The sequence below is a fragment of the Homo sapiens genome, chromosome 2 (genome assembly GCF_000001405.40).
Source record: "Homo sapiens chromosome 2, GRCh38.p14 Primary Assembly".
NCBI lineage: Eukaryota > Metazoa > Chordata > Mammalia > Primates > Hominidae > Homo > Homo sapiens.
In genome coordinates, this window is record NC_000002.12 from 151596509 (window position 1) to 151613195 (window position 16687).

The window sequence follows — 16687 nt, forward strand, 5'->3', positions numbered from 1 at the left end:
AGATTTTTCTCCCCCTAATTTTGTCCTTTGACTTTTCAGAAGTTTCTGCTAAAGGGTTGTGACATAGATATCATACATAGCCCGCCATTTGGATGTAATTAAAAATGGTCCTTTGTCTTTCTTATGGCCTTGAAATGTCAAATGAAAAAGTCCTGGATCAATAAGAAAAACCTAAGATGATAACAGAGACTGTTAAGAGTGAAGGAGGACACCAAAAGGATTCAGGTGTCCCAAATCCTGCAGTCTAGGCACCCACCGATGTATCCAAGCACACATTTAAAAGAGAGAAACTCCATTCATATCGCATTGGGACTGGTAGCTAAAGAGAAAATGTCTAGCACCAAAAGCCACAAACATTGCAAGGTAGGTAATTTGTCGCTATAACAATCTCCATGAGCAGACAGATATTGCCCATAAAGGCTTTTACACTTCATGTTCGTGCCACTTACATTGCTGATTTGCAAGGCATTGATGTGGGCCTGCAGCATCTCCGGAGTATCAGAAGGAATGGTGATGTTGCTTTTATCTTTATTCCAGGCTTCCTGATACAGTTTCTGTGGAGAGGAGGGAAATAGGGAATCAATATCTGAAACATTAAGCCTTAGCTAATGTTTGGCTAATAGTTAACTAATGTAAGCCTTAGCTAACTACTCAATCTGGAAAAACGTTTTTACATATGTTTATAATGGTTAACTTTATGTGTCAGCTTGGCTGGGGCATGGTACCCAGATATTTAGTCAAACATTATTTTAGGTGTTTCTGTGAAAGTATTGTTAAAATGAAGTTAACATTTAAATCAGTAGATTCCAAGTAAAGGAGACTACCCTTCATGATGTGGGTGAGCCTTATCTAATTAGTTGAAGACCTTGATAGAAAAGACAAACCTCCCCAGTAAAAAGGAATTCTGCCAGCAGATGGCCTTTGGGTTTGAATTGCAACACATCCCTCAGTCTCTAGCCGGCTGGCCTACCCTGCAGACTTTGGACTTGCCAGCCTGCATGATCTCAGGAGCCAATTTCTTAAAGTCTCTCTCTTCTGTGTGTGTGTACAAACACACACACACAAACACACACACACACACAGCCCCTATTGGTTCTGTTTCTCTAGAGAATCTGGACTAATACAATGTTATGTTATTATGTAGCATGACACTACATGTCTTAGTATTTAATATGAGGTCAACAAGTATTTGTGTTCCTGAGTTGCCAGGGAGTGACATTTTCACTGCAGTGCTTCAAAGTGTGTATGTGTGGTAGAAGAAAGGCATGTTGGTGTTTGTCAGAGTTCTATTTTCAGTGTATCTGCACTAGTGAAGACATTTTTAGAGTTGCTCGTCTCACCAAAATTCTTTGAAGAAGTCCAGTCTACGGGCTCAGTTTGGGTGGTATCTTTGGAAAAGATAGTAGGATGGTTCTTACCTCACTTATTTGCAGAGAATTGGCTTTTGCCAAGACAACTTCTGGAGTGTCGACAATGCTGGTGAATGACAAAGCTTCTGGACGTGTCCTATAGAGTCTTTCATTCACGAGGTCTTGAGCAACCTTCACTCTGTTCATTTCCACTGAGCCTTCTGGCATCCAGCCGATGCCACGCAGCCACTCCAGGTCTGCCTTATACACACTCTATAAAGAAGATGTCAGACAAAAATACCATTTCTGACCAACATGGTGAAACCCCATCTCTACTAAAAATACAAAAATTAGCCGGGCATGGTGGCGCATGCCTGTAATCCCAGCTACTTGGGAGGCTGAGGCAGGAGAATCGCTTGAACCCGGGAGGCAGAGCTTGCAGTGAGCCGAGACTGTGCCATTGCACTCCAGCCTGGGCAACAAGAGCAAACCTCCGTCTCACAAAAAAAAAAAAAAAAAAAAAAAAGGTAAATGTCAACATTTAATGAAAAAATAGGCAAAGATTGTATGAGAGGCAAGGTGCAGGCTTTCAGCACTGAAACTCTGAGTACATGCAACGGCAAAGCAAAAATAAAACATGAAAGTACATCATTGTGACACTGGAAATCCCTTTTGTGATCATAAGTTGAAGTCGTGAGTGCTAACATTTAAAAAAATTTTTTTTAAGGGATGGAGTGCAATTGGAGACTGCACTCCAGCCTGGGCAATGAGAGTGAAACTCCATTTCAAAAAAAAAGAAAAAAAAAAGGAAAAAACATTTCAAGTGTTAGACATACAAATCTTTAGCTGAAAAATAAAGCACATGGGGTTGAAGGGATAGGTGCAGGAGATTGTACTTCCAAAAAAGTAAGACCTGAGATCTCACATGATTCAGGGTTTTTAATATTGATCACAGAAGTCATTTGTAAAAACATAATTATTTATACTAGCCATGAATAATAATATGTATAGTAATAAAGCTGAATTCCATGATATAATTGATATTTCAAAAAATTTTATAGTTGAAAATTTTTAAAGGAAAATTTTGCTGAATTGGATTCCACTTTAATCCTGTGATAATTGACCCAAGGAAATGCTGTTTAGTGTTTTGGATCTAGCATAATAGCAGCAATTATTTTAAAAACATTCAGATGATTTTTATTTGTCTGAAAATGTATTTGTCTGAAAAGTGCTGGGATTACAGGTGTGAGCCACCGCGCCCAGCCCTATGTCATGTTCTTTCTTCTTCTTTATTCACCATTGTATCTTTAGTGCTTAGCACAATGCCTGGCACATGGTGTGTTTAATAAGTATTTTTAAAAGGATGATTAAGAATTCGATCACTAGTTCCACAGTTTTGGTCTCCAGAAACTGTCTTAAATCTACCACTTGGCAATGCATTTTAAGTGATGAGCATGCTTTCCTGTAATGAACTCATTCATTACAAAAAGGTATCTCTGGAAGCTTAAGGGAACCAAGATCAGATAATTTTTAAGTTATCCATTCTATACAGGAAATAAATAACCTTCTGTAATCCATCATTTCTAAAAGTCTGAAGGGCAGAAAATACGAGTAAATCTAAAAATGCCTTAGGTGAGTTAATGAAAGACCACATTGTGAAGAACATCAAGTGGTCTGGAGCGTGCTGCTAACTTTTCAAATTAAGTTTGAGGAAGATGGTCCTGCCCTTCTTTGATTCATAGCTGAAGGACCATGGACATTCTTCTGTTTAAGAAACTGCCCCAGCACTTTGGGAGGCCAAGGCAGGTGGATCACCTGAGGTCAGGGGTTTGAGACCAGCCTGGCCAACATGATGAAACCCTGCCTCTACTAAAAAATAAAAAAATCAGCCGACTGTGGTGGCATGTGCTTGTAATCCCAGCTACTTGGGAGGCTGAGGCAGAAGAATCGCTTGAACCCGGGAGGCAGAGGTTGCAGTGAGCTGAGACTCCAGCCTGGGCCGCAGGGCCAGACTAAGGAAGGAAGGAAGGAACAAAGAAACGAACTGCAAGGCTGGGCGCGGTGGCTCACATCTATAATCCCAGAACTTTGGGAGGCTGAGACAAGTGGATCACCTGAGGCCAGGAGTTCAAGACCAGCCTGGCCAAGATGGCGAAAACCCGCCTCTAATAAAAATACAAAAATTAGCTGGGTGTGGTGCACATGCCTGTAATCCCAGCTACTTGGGAGGCTGATGCAGGAACATCGCTTGAACCTGGGAGGCGGAGGTTGCAGTGGGCTGAGATTGCACCACTGCACTCCAGCCTGGGTGACAGAGCAAGACTCTCCGTCTCAAAAAAAAAAAAAAAAAAAAAGAAAGAAACTGGAAACACTGTACACATTAACAAATCTATAGGAAAATTCTGGTAGCACCTTTAACAATGAAAACTTTCTGAAGAAACCTGGCTGTAGGTAGGCAATTAATAATTCTGATAAAATAATAATAAAGTGGAGTGCCTACGTACAGAGAGTTGTGTTTTCAGAGCATTGGAAGGAGCCATCAGGCAAAGCAATGGGGGACTTGTTTCCTGGGGGACACACTTACGTCGCTCTGTAGGTCGTAGGCTTTCCTGGCTTGGATCACATCATTCTGGTCGGGAAAGCAAGACCAGTGGTGCAGGTAATGGCGATAGTCCACATCACTTGCCAGTGCCTGACCTTCTTTGGCAGCGCTGATGGACACCATGTCCACAGGGATGGAGATCTTGGCTTTGTGGTCGTTGTAGGCCTTTTTGTACAGCCTGTCATTCTGCATCTTCAACACATTTGCTGCCCAAACCAGTTTAGGGTCTTCCTTGGCGCTGCGACAGCCAATGTAATGGCCTTTCTGTTTCTCATAAGCAGTTTTGTACAGATACTGGTAGATGTGAACAGAAAATAGAAGAGTAATTTTTCCAAACCCACTTTTTCTAGAGAGCCTACTCAAACTAACTCCATCTCCCTTAGTTTACCTTTTTTGGGGGGGTCGGGGAATACTGTTTTTATTTAAATTCAAGCCATAAGTTTTGATACATTGGTTTGTCTTCTGTGTCTACATGCATGAAAACATTGAGAGCATCTCTTAGGCAAGAACTGTGTTGCTGGATTATCTCCCAATATAGCCTGGCCACCTTCAGATGTTTTGTCACACACAAGTACCAGTTGTACTTCTTATTACTTTAAATCAAATTAATTCTTTGTTGAAATTTTTTTTATTTTACTTTTCTTTTCTTTTTTTTTTTTTTTTTTTGAGACAGAGTCTCGCTCTGCTCCCCAGGCTAGAGTGCAGTAGCACGATCTCGGCTCACTTGCAATCTCCACCTCCTGGGTTCAAGTGATTCTCCTGCCTCTGCCTCCCCAGTAGCTGGGATTACAGGCATCCGCCACCATGCCCAGCTAATTTTTGTATTTTTAGTAGAGACAGGGTTTCACCGTGTTGGCCAGGCTGGTCTCGAACTCCTGACCTCAAGTGATCCACCCGCCTTGGCCTCCCAAAATGCTGGGATTTACAGGCATGAGCCACCATGCCTTGCCTGAAATAATTTTTAATTATAAACTTATTTTAAAATTTTATTTAAAAATGTGTAACCCTATCTACGTGGAAAAAAACAGTATATTTCTAGCACACATTAAAACAACCATATAACTATTTTAAAAAAATACTTGTGCATGTACTACATAAAATTATTATAGGAAACACCGGTAGTATACACGCCACACTTTGAGTAACAACAGAATTCTCTGTACTATGAAATTAAATCTCTTTAAGTACTTGTAAATTAAGTGACATTGTGAAGATATTGAAAAGAAAATCAAAATCTGTGCTTAAACGCAAGAGTTGCAGAACCAAACATAGATGCAAAAGGATCCTCAGATTGTAAGAGTTGTTCTTGAATTTAGGATTTACAAATATACTAATAACAATGACCCAATTCCATTTAAATATAATTCAAAGGGCATTAAGTTAAACTCCCTCTATTTCTACTAGTTAGTGTTTGTTCCGGTTGGGAAGGAGGAGCTCTTACGTCACTGGCAATATCCCTGGAAGCCTTGGCATGCTGGATCCCAATGGCATCTGCTCGCAGGTCATAACCAGTCATCTTGACATCTTCCCAAGCTTGCTGATAGCGTTTCTGCAAACAGAGAGTGCAATGCCACAGTCAGTCTGAAGAGGGAGCTACTGAGTCAGCATTACTGATGTATTTAAAAATAGATATTTACAGTTACACTGAACATTAATGTCTCCTTAAGATTTATGAAAGAGTCTGGTTTCATATTGAGCTTGAATTCCAGTAGATTTTTAATGACATTTAGTAAAGCTCTCTCCCAATAATTATTTTTTGAAGAAGGAAACTTAGGAGATAATAAATCATGTAAAAATCAGAAAAAAACATATTGCTTGGCTTTTACAAGGAAAAAGCAATGATGGATGGCCCACCAAAACCTGAGAACTAGGTATTACTCTACGTGTATCTATAAGTTTTATGTTGTGTTTTTGGAGAAACCATTCCATTTTTCCTTCCAACAAATATTGAGATGTACATTATACAGACACACGCAGACCCACACAGCTACTTATCATTAACTTAAAGACTAGAAATAAAAGGAATGGGAAGAAAATGCCTTTTGACAAACTCTCTTTGGGGTGTATAATAAAAGGTTTGGTTAGGCAGAGAGCACTGTGAAAAGCAAATGATGTGTGCTGTCTTACATTGCTGATCTGCAGGGCATTGATTTTGGATTGCAGCATCAGGGGAGTGTCAGCTGGCACGTTCACATTAGCCTTCTCTTTCTCCCAGGCATCGCGATACAATGGCTGGGAAAAATGAAAAACGATGGAATGGTCAATTAGTAAATAAGTCAATTACCACATAAATAAAATTATAAAGTCATGAAACATATACTTGAATAAATGGATATGAATAAAATTTTAAGTGAATTTTATAATAAATTAAAACTAACATAAGTAAATTAAAATTTTTAAGTAAGATTAATAGGTAAATCTAATTTTATATTAAATAATAAGCAAAATGAAAAGTTCTTTTTGGATGTTCTCCGATATAAACGTAGATTATACATAGCATAAGCCACTGCACCTTGCCTCCTTTGCACTTTTATTTAAAAGGTGCCAATAGTGACTTCAATAAGAACACATTTATGTGTGATACAACATAATTTAAAATGAGTCAGAAATACGGTAGTAAAATTATTCTTTTCCATTTACTCACATCTAATTATCAGATGGGTAAGTCCACATTGCAGATAGCTCTGATAATTCCCATTGCTGAGCAGGACCTAGCTGTTTTTGGTCCAAATAACTACCATAATGTCTAACATTGAAGTTGTCCCTAGACTTCTCAACCTATTTCAAGCAATAAAGAAGTGGCAATTTTGTGATTATAGTACTAAGTGGTGGGCCTATATTATGGTCTGGATCTCCAAATGTGATCAAAGTGTGTATCAGGGTGTGTAGAACATGAAGATGCCCACCACATGTGCATTGACCAAACACTTATCAAAGCAAATGAAATCCAGAGGCTGCTAAGAGACTGACTACACAAAGATCCATCTGGATACATGCAAACGTGTTTCAGATCCTGACGCTGACATGAAGAGTCTAAAGTTCACGTTTAAAATTCTTCTGGATTCAGATTTCTTCCATTTGTCTGAAAACATCATCCACCTGGACTTACCTCACTGATCTGTACAGCATTGATCTTTGCCTGGATTACTTCCGGGGTGTCAACAATGCTGGTGAATTTGAGGGCCTCAGGCTTTATACGATACAGCCTTTCATTCAAGAGATTCTGGGCATTCTTCACTCTCATCACTTCCACAGAACCCTCTGGCAGCCATCCAATACCCTTCAGCCATTCCAGGTCTGACTTGTACAAGTTCTACATGAAGGAGAGGAACACAGAGTGGGGAAGAGTCAAAGTTGCCCATAAGAGTTTGATGCTTGCAAACCACACATCACCTCTGTTTAAATCAGTTAGGTGGCTAATCTCATAAAACTCAAGGATCAACATTAAATGTTAATATTGGGTGTTATCTCTCTGGCACACATGGGAGAAGTTTAGAGTATCCTGCAGGAATTGGAACAGGGCTCACAAGTGGCACTTGGTGGAACGGCAGCCAGCAATGGCACATAACTTTGTATGCTTGGATTAGTTTCTACACTCACCACTTGAAGTCTGCCTTTTATGTACCACTGGAAGTAACATCAGTAATAACATCAGTTGGATCTTAGGAGGTAAAGAACCTTAGATGTATGCGTAATGAGAAAAAAATACATACCTGTATCGATATCCACCCTGCCCCCCATCTCTCTCTCTTTCTGTGTCAAGTAAACATGAAATCCAACATTTCCTTATGCTTACATCTACTTATGAAATATGTATATGATTATGCAAAGGTAACGGCTCAGAGCAGCTGCAACTGAAATTTTCTACCTAATTACATAGAATAAGAGACTGATTTTCATCTTGGTAAATAAGGTCTTGCTACCATAAGAAGGAGTCCTCTATAAGATAGAAAATGTCTGGGGAAAACTCTGCTACCATGAATTGTACAGAATATGTTAGGTTCTATTAAGATTACCATTTAAATTATGCCTCTGGGGAATGCACTGGATTTAAACACACAAATACACATCTCCCCGGGGTCTGGCGATAATATACGCACATCGCTCTGCAGGTCGTAGGCTTTCTTGGCCTGGATCACATCGTTCTGATCTGGCAGACACGTCCACTGGTGCAGATAATTGCGATAATCAATGTCGCTAACCAGGACCTGGCATTTCTTGGCTTGAACAATTGACATCATGTCCAACGGTGTGTTGTGAATTCCTTTAGACTTCTCATAAGCTTTCTTATATTCTCTGTCACTCTGGATCTTGGCAGCATGTATAGCCCATACTGACTTGGGGTCATCTTGTAGGGTGCGGAAACCCATGTGGTGGCCCAGTTGCTTACGGTAACCTTCTTTGTATTTGTACTAAAGTAGTAAGAAATCATATTAAAAAGACATATGAAAATAATGTATTAAGAGGGGTTTTCTAATTTAAATGGTTTCAGTATGTTTTCTTAGCCTTGGTATAAATTGGCTCAACATTGGCAGTCATTACATATTTCAGTTCACTTTAAAGAAATTAGATAATACGATTTTAGGTCATTTCAGAGAGGACATGAGTAAATCAGGAGGGAGATGGTATGGTGAACAAGAGTAATGAAAACAATAGCTAACATTTACTAAGTAATTACTCTATGCCGGACACTATTATGACTACTTCTAATGTGTTGGGTAGATCCACATGAAACTACCATGTTTTTCGGTCAAAAATCATTGACTGGTGGCAATTATGATCACAGTTCATCCTCACAATGTCTCTATGAGGTAGATACTATTATTAACATATATTCCAGATGGGGAAAACAAGGCACAGGTGATAATCTCCATCACCAAGCTTCCCTGACAAGTGCAACATTAGGTCAAATGATCTCCTAAGAGTACTGAAGGAACCTCAGGTAGGGAGAGGTCATACGTGTGTGGTTTTGGAAACAGATAAGAAAGATGCATGTTTCAAGGATGGAAAGCAAGGTTGTGGCTTGAATCAGAAGATAACAACAAAAGTTCTGTGGACAAGAGTTTCCATCTGATGAGTGTCTCAGGACTAGTGTAAGGTGGTTTCTGTTTCTTTCCTATGTTTGGACAACATAGGCAAGTTTGAACAAAGAGAGAGAAAACTGGGAATCAAGCAGATAACGTGGACTAGCTATGGTTATTAGAGGCAAAAATGAAGAATAAGAAGGAGGAAACAACTGGCTACATGATGAAAATCAGAGAAGAACACAGAGAAAGGAACAAGGTGGCTTAAAGAGTTGGAGCTGGGGGCAGGGTGCACCTGGTAGCATAATTATTCTATTTTTATTTTTATTTTTTTTGAAACGCAGTTTCAGTCTTGTTGCCCAGGCTGGAACGCAATGGCATGATCTCGGCTTACTGCAAACCTCCGCCTCCCAGGTTCAAGTGATTCTCCTGCCTCAGACTCCTGAGTAGCTGGGATTACAGGCTCCCGCCACCACGCCCAGCTAAGTTTTTGTTTGTTTGTTTGTTTGTATTTTTAGTAGAGATGAGGTTTTACCATGTTGGCCAGGCTGGTCTCGAACTCCTGACCTCAGGTGATCCGCCCACCTCAGCCTCCCAAAGTGCTGGGATTACAGGGGTGAGCCACCATGCCCGACAGGTAGCATAATTATTTTGACCACTAGTAAGTTTTAAAATTAGAATTAAATGAAGTTCCAAAGATTACTAAGAGTATTCTACATAAGCCTCCAGTATAAAATCTTGCATATAAATATGATTTCAGTCTTAAGTCTTATATGAAACTATCATCTGTGACTTATATTTGTGGAGAATGTCAGAAATATTTTAGGGATAAAAATGACATTGTATTGGGTCCTGAATTTTCCCAGGAATTTAATACAGACTCTTCATGATGTTTTGTTTCTACTTTGTAACAGCATCAAAGTAAATTTACACATATACCTCATCTATGCTAACTTTAATGTTTTCCATTCCATTTTAATATTTTCAAATACAGAAAGCTTCTAGCACAGGATGAGATGAATTCTATGCACAGATTTTTTAAAAACACAAAATTCTTGAAAAATAGTCTCCCTGCTCGTTTTGTAGAAAAGAAAAACCACAAGAAAAGAGAAGGAAGCGTACCTCACTGGCAATTTCTCTGGAGGCCTTGGCGTGCTTGATTTCAATGGCATCTGCCCTTATGTCATAGCCTTTCTGCTTGGCGTCATTCCAGTCTTTTTGGTAGAGTTTCTATAGAGGGAAAATAAAGGTTTGTTTACAAGAATGGAAAAATAAGCAAATTTACTCAAATTTGTCATAATATAAATCATAAAGAATATGGTAATGTAGTCAATATAAGAAAAAAGCATTCATTTCTGGGTTCTTTTCGTTGTTGGATATTTCCTCTGTGGTGTACAGGATACTTCTGGTTAAAATTTTAAAGCTAAACATCAAACTCTATTAATGTTTGAATATTTGCATCCATCACAATATGGTATGCATTTGAAAATATCCCACTACAAGTACATGGAACCTAAGGATCAATGGGGAAGCCAGAGAATCTTTATCAAGATATCAGGTAAGATCTGATAAGATTTTTCTCCCCCTAATTTTGTCCTTTGACTTTTCAGAAGTTTCTGCTAAAGAGTTGTGACATAGATATCATACCTAGCCCGCCATCTGGATGTAAATAGAAATGGTCTTTTGTCTTTCTTATGGCCTTGAAATGTCAAATGAAAAAGTCCTGGATCAATTAAAAAAACCTAAGATGATAACAGAGACTGTTAAGAGTGAAGGAGGACACCAAAAGGATTCAGGTGTCCCATATCCTGCAGTCTAGGCACCCACCGATGTATCCAAGCACTCATTTAAAAGAGAGAAACTCCATTCATATCGCATTGGGACTGGTAGCTAAAGAGAAAATGTCTAGCACCAAAAGCCACAAACATTGCAAGGTAGGTAATTTGTCACTATAACACTCTCCATGAGCAGACAGATATTGCCCATAAAGGCTTTTACACTTCATGTTCGTGCCACTTACATTGCTGATTTGCAAGGCATTGATGTGGGCCTGCAGCATCTCCGGAGTATCAGAAGGAATGGTGATGTTGCTTTTATCTTTATTCCAGGCTTCCTGATACAGTTTCTGTGGAGAGGAGGGAAATAGGGAATCAATATCTGAAACATTAAGCCTTAGCTAATGTTTGGCTAATAGTTAACTAATGTAAGCCTTAGCTAACTACTCAATCTGGAAAAACGTTTTTACATATGTTTATAATGGTTAACTTTATGTGTCAGCTTGGCTGGGGCATGGTACCCAGATATTTAGTCAAACATTATTTTAGGTGTTTCTGTGAAAGTATTGTTAAAATGAAGTTAACATTTAAATCAGTAGATTCCAAGTAAAGGAGACTACCCTTCATGATGTGGGTGAGCCTTATCTAATTAGTTGAAGACCTTGATAGAAAAGACAAACCTCCCCAGTAAAAAGGAATTCTGCCAGCAGATGGCCTTTGGGTTTGAATTGCAACACATCCCTCAGTCTCTAGCCGGCTGGCCTACCCTGCAGACTTTGGACTTGCCAGCCTGCATGATCTCAGGAGCCAATTTCTTAAAGTCTCTCTCTTCTGTGTGTGTGTACAAACACACACACACAAACACACACACACACACAGCCCCTATTGGTTCTGTTTCTCTAGAGAATCTGGACTAATACAATGTTATGTTATTATGTAGCATGACACTACATGTCTTAGTATTTAATATGAGGTCAACAAGTATTTGTGTTCCTGAGTTGCCAGGGAGTGACATTTTCACTGCAGTGCTTCAAAGTGTGTATGTGTGGTAGAAGAAAGGCATGTTGGTGTTTGTCAGAGTTCTATTTTCAGTGTATCTGCACTAGTGAAGACATTTTTAGAGTTGCTCGTCTCACCAAAATTCTTTGAAGAAGTCCAGTCTACGGGCTCAGTTTGGGTGGTATCTTTGGAAAAGATAGTAGGATGGTTCTTACCTCACTTATTTGCAGAGAATTGGCTTTTGCCAAGACAACTTCTGGAGTGTCGACAATGCTGGTGAATGACAAAGCTTCTGGACGTGTCCTATAGAGTCTTTCATTCACGAGGTCTTGAGCAACCTTCACTCTGTTCATTTCCACTGAGCCTTCTGGCATCCAGCCGATGCCACGCAGCCACTCCAGGTCTGCCTTATACACACTCTATAAAGAAGATGTCAGACAAAAATACCATTTCTGACCAACATGGTGAAACCCCATCTCTACTAAAAATACAAAAATTAGCCGGGCATGGTGGCGCATGCCTGTAATCCCAGCTACTTGGGAGGCTGAGGCAGGAGAATCGCTTGAACCCGGGAGGCAGAGCTTGCAGTGAGCCGAGACTGTGCCATTGCACTCCAGCCTGGGCAACAAGAGCAAACCTCCGTCTCACAAAAAAAAAAAAAAAAAAAAAAAAAAAAGTTAAATGTCAACATTTAATGAAAAAATTGGCAAAGATTGTATGAGAAGCAAGGTGCAGGCCTTCAGCACTGAAACTCTGAGTACATGCAACGGCAAAGCAAAAATAAAACATGAAAGTACATCATTGTGACACTGGAAATCCCTTTTGTGATCATAAGTTGAAGTCGTGAGTGCTAACATTTAAAAAAATTTTTTTAAGGGATGGAGTGCAATTGGAGATTGCACTCCAGCCTGGGCAACGAGAGTGAAACTCCATTTCAAAATAAAAGAAAAAAAAAAGGAAAAACATTTCAAGTGTTAGACATACAAATCCTTAGCTGAAAAATAAAGCACATGGGGTTGACGGGATAAGTGCACGAGATTGTACTTCCAAAAAAGCAAGACCTGAGATCTCACATGATTGAGGGTTTTTAATATTGATCACAGAAGTCACTTGTAAAAACATAATTATTTATACTAGCCATGAATAATAATATATATAGTAATAAAGCTGAATTCCATAATATAATTATTTGATATTTCAAAAAATTTTATAGTTGAAAATTTTTAAAGGAAAATTTTGCTGAATTAGATTCCATTTTAATCCTGTGGCAATTGACCCAAGGAAATGCTGTTTAGTGTTTTGGATCTAGCATAATAGCAACAATTATTTTAAAAACATTCAGATGATTTATATTTGTCTGAAATATGTTTTCATTGCCAGAAGTTACTACTAAAGATGGATTTTATATTAAACAATGTGAATGGTACCCCCAGCCCCACCCCCAGGTTTGTGCAGTGCACAGCCCAGGGGACTGTCCTCAGAGGCACTGACTGGGCAATGAACAAATCTACATCTTCCCCTTCCCCCTTTCCCAAAATTCATGTTACGTACATCACTCTGCAGGTCATAGGCCTTTTTTGCTTGGATAATGTCGTTTTGATCCGGCATGCATGTCCATTCATGCAGGTAATTGCGATAATCAATGTCAGTGACCAAAGTCTGACATTTCTTGGCCAGCAAGATGCTTAACATGTCCACTGGGCTAGAGAACTTGGTTTTCCACTTTTGGAATTCCTTCTTGTACTCCCTTTCACTTTGAATTTTTCCTGCATGTATGGCACACATAATCTTGGGATCATCTTCAATGCTCTGGGCTCCAATGTGGTGGCCTTTCTGTTTCTCATAGGCTTCCTTGTATTTGTACTAAAATGCCAGAAATACAGGTGGAGACATCCAGTTTTAAAACCATGCTCATGTGCTGACAATTACAGACAACATGAAATGGACAAGATTTTATATTACAAACATTTTGGCATCTCTGAACTATTATATTTAAAAGCAATGTTTTATACTGTTTTAAAAATAATTGTAATGTAATCATATATCTTCATTGGTGAAAGCATTCCCTGCAGCAACTCTAACTATAATGCCAAAATGTATTTTTATTCTCTGTAACAACAAAGGGAATGGTCTTGAGAGGTAGGAAGTAGGACTGGAAGGTACATGTGGAAATCACTATAGAGTGTGTGGTTCACCAGCCACCCTCTGGGTTGTTCAGCACAGTGGAGACCACAGAGAGTTAGATGGAAGGTACTCACGTCACTGGCGATGTCCCTGGAGGCCTTGGCACTTTTGATGGAAATAGCATCTGCTCTCAGATCATAGTCCTTCATCTTTGATTCATCCCATCCCTTGGTGTAAAGTTTCTAGGGAAGGGATAATAGACGACAGAAAATAAGAGTGTTTGAGGAAGGTAATAGGCCAATTCCAGAAAGGAAATTGTTACGGTGGAAAAAGCATTTTAATTAATCTTAGGTTTAAGCAACAATCAGGAAATCTCTTACTTGGCTGATATTGGCAGAATTACTCTTGGCCAGCAGGATATCTGGGGTGTCTGGCATCACGTGGATGGAGGTTTTGTCAGCATCCCAAGCTTCTGTGTATAAATGCTACAGGGCAGGGCGGCATGGGGCATGGGGAGAGGGAGGGAGTATAAGACCTTCTGTTAAAGCCAATAACATCATTACAGTTGTTAGCAAATTTAACTCACATTTAACTATAAAATAGCTCCTTCTAATGCTTTTGGGAGGTGAGGGAAGCAAAAGAGTCATGGGGAAAGTAAAACATAGCAATATTTAAATAGCTGTACAATGGTTTCATAATTAATATGAAGCAATATAATGGTTGCTATTAGTAATTCTTTTCATCCACTGAATCACAAGCTTATTCAGATATCCAAAGATGGATCTCAGTTATGGAACTATGAGACAGTAGAAATCCCTAGACTTCAGAGTCAATCCCAAGTGCAAACCCAACTCTACTATTTCCAAGCTGTGTGATCTTGAGAAAGGTACATAACTCCTCACATTCCTCATTTCTGAGAGGGGGATAATCATTCTTTTTTATTATTTTTTGAAGATGATCCATAACATATATAAAATGCCCAAGTCATAGCAGATACTCAACGATTTTTTGGTGATTCCTATTGCTGTTATCATTGTGGTTGCTGTTGATGGATATAGTATAAAAGAGTTTCTAGAGTTGTATACCCCAGACTCTGGAGTTTGCTATCTGAAGCCACTTTCATATTTGTACTGAGCACTCAATTGTACTAGCCTAATGATTGGAAGGCTTCCAGGCAGGTGTGGGAGAATTCAAGTTCAAATCAGTCTAAAATATGCATATTAAGGGCTGACTCATTGGATAAAAATAGATTGATAAAATTTTGGATGAAACAAATGATCATCTATCTTGTGTAATAAAACTGAAAGCAGAGATTGCAGCTAGCTTTCAAAAGTGGATTTCCATAACCTAATGTGGAGGAGCAACCTGAGCAACCAATTTGAATGTGTACCAGCATTGCTATGAAACACTATGTGTATCCCAGCCCTCAGAATGAAGTGTAAATGGCTTATATTCCTTACCAGATGGCTAAAGACACGTAAGTGGCCTGAATCTGCTCTGCCTAGGAGAATGTGTGAGGAAGGGTAATGCAATTGTGATGTCTCCAGGTCACTGCTCAGAAGGGTGAGTGCATCACTCCAGGGAAATCATTCCAGGCTCTGTTCCCACATGCACACAGAGAATTAGGGGGCAGGGTGTTGAGAAGAGCACACCTTGAATTCAAGCAGATGCTCTGTTAAAGGCCTGCATGAGAATCAGGCCTATGACACCTCCTTTCTCAGGGAATCCTTAGGGAATTTCCTACTTTATGAGCCAAATCTGTGGAAGGTATGATTCTGGCAACAGAAAACAGCTGGAGACTCACCTTGCTCATTGTCAGGGCATTATTCTTTGCTAGGACAATTTCCGGAGTGTCGGTAATGCATGTGAATTTGAGCTGGTCTGCAGGCTGGCGATACTTCCTGTCACTCAGGATTTCTCCAGCTCTCTTCACTTTCTCGACCTCTACAGAGCCAATGGGAACCCATCCTATGCCTCTCAGCCACTCAAGATCAGATTTGTAAATAGCCTGAAAATGAAATAATGTCAAATATTTATAGATGTCACCTAGACGGCCTGGTGCCTGATCCTGATTTAACATACACAGATAATGTGTTAGTCTGAATCTTATTTGTGTAAATTTCTGGGAAGACCCACAGGATTGCTTTACTTTGGTTTAGAATGGCTAGTTAAATGCCTGGCTCCTGAAGGTAGCCAATATTTACTGTTTTAAAGACTCATAAAAATCTCTTTAATGCTATTCATTTTCAGTGATAAAAACCACCTTAAGGAAATTACTGCCTGCCTCCTGAAACAGTGTTTATTCTCTGATTTGATGGTCCCTACCTCCTCTTATGGAAACTGTACTGGGTGAGAATACAGTTGGCTCCTATGTTGTTAGGCAGTGGCCTTCATAGCTCTTCTTGGTATATAGAGAAGAAATGAGCATTACTGGTTGATCACGTTGCATTAATGTGTTTTTTTGGGGATAAAAACGACGTCTTTTTCGTATGCTTCTATGTACATGCTTCCAAGTCACAGAGTACATCTCTCTTTACTCATATTTATTTTATCCTCCATCCTCTTTCTTGTCTTAGAATTCAAGTAAACAAATACATTTTTTCTTTCTTTCATTTTCTTCTTTGAATATAAACAACTGGTTGAAGGAAAATTTTTCTTGTAAGGAAGGGTAACAATTCTTTTTGTTTTTATGGCTTTCAGGGAATCTCTCTTTTTTTAACTGTCACTGCTTTTATCATTCTTCCAAAAGTGCTTGATTTAACCAGAGCTTGATTAAAACAAGGAGCTATGATATCAATGAGGTAATATTTGAGT

General features: G+C 39.3%; 1 protein-coding gene across 47 annotated transcripts in view; it reads right to left on the reverse strand.

Annotated features, from left to right (window-relative positions):
• The window catches only part of NEB (nebulin), a 249138-nt gene that overhangs the window by 111170 nt on the left and 121281 nt on the right, over window positions 1-16687 (reverse strand). For 45 of the 47 annotated variants that reach the window (XM_011511227.3, XM_011511226.3, XM_005246613.3 and 42 more), the window contains 14 exons: window positions 15678-15881; window positions 14254-14358; window positions 14008-14115; window positions 13301-13612; window positions 11965-12168; window positions 10996-11100; window positions 10098-10205; window positions 8052-8363; window positions 7061-7264; window positions 6079-6183; window positions 5393-5500; window positions 3934-4245; window positions 1419-1622; window positions 450-554 (listed from right to left, as the gene is read on the reverse strand). In XM_011511227.3, coding sequence (XP_011509529.1) covers window positions 450-554; window positions 1419-1622; window positions 3934-4245; window positions 5393-5500; window positions 6079-6183; window positions 7061-7264; window positions 8052-8363; window positions 10098-10205; window positions 10996-11100; window positions 11965-12168; window positions 13301-13612; window positions 14008-14115; window positions 14254-14358; window positions 15678-15881 — 2496 coding nt within the window. The remainder of the gene's footprint in view (window positions 1-449; window positions 555-1418; window positions 1623-3933; window positions 4246-5392; window positions 5501-6078; window positions 6184-7060; window positions 7265-8051; window positions 8364-10097; window positions 10206-10995; window positions 11101-11964; window positions 12169-13300; window positions 13613-14007; window positions 14116-14253; window positions 14359-15677; window positions 15882-16687) is intronic. The other 2 variants (NM_004543.5, XM_005246617.3) reach the window with 2 other exon arrangements.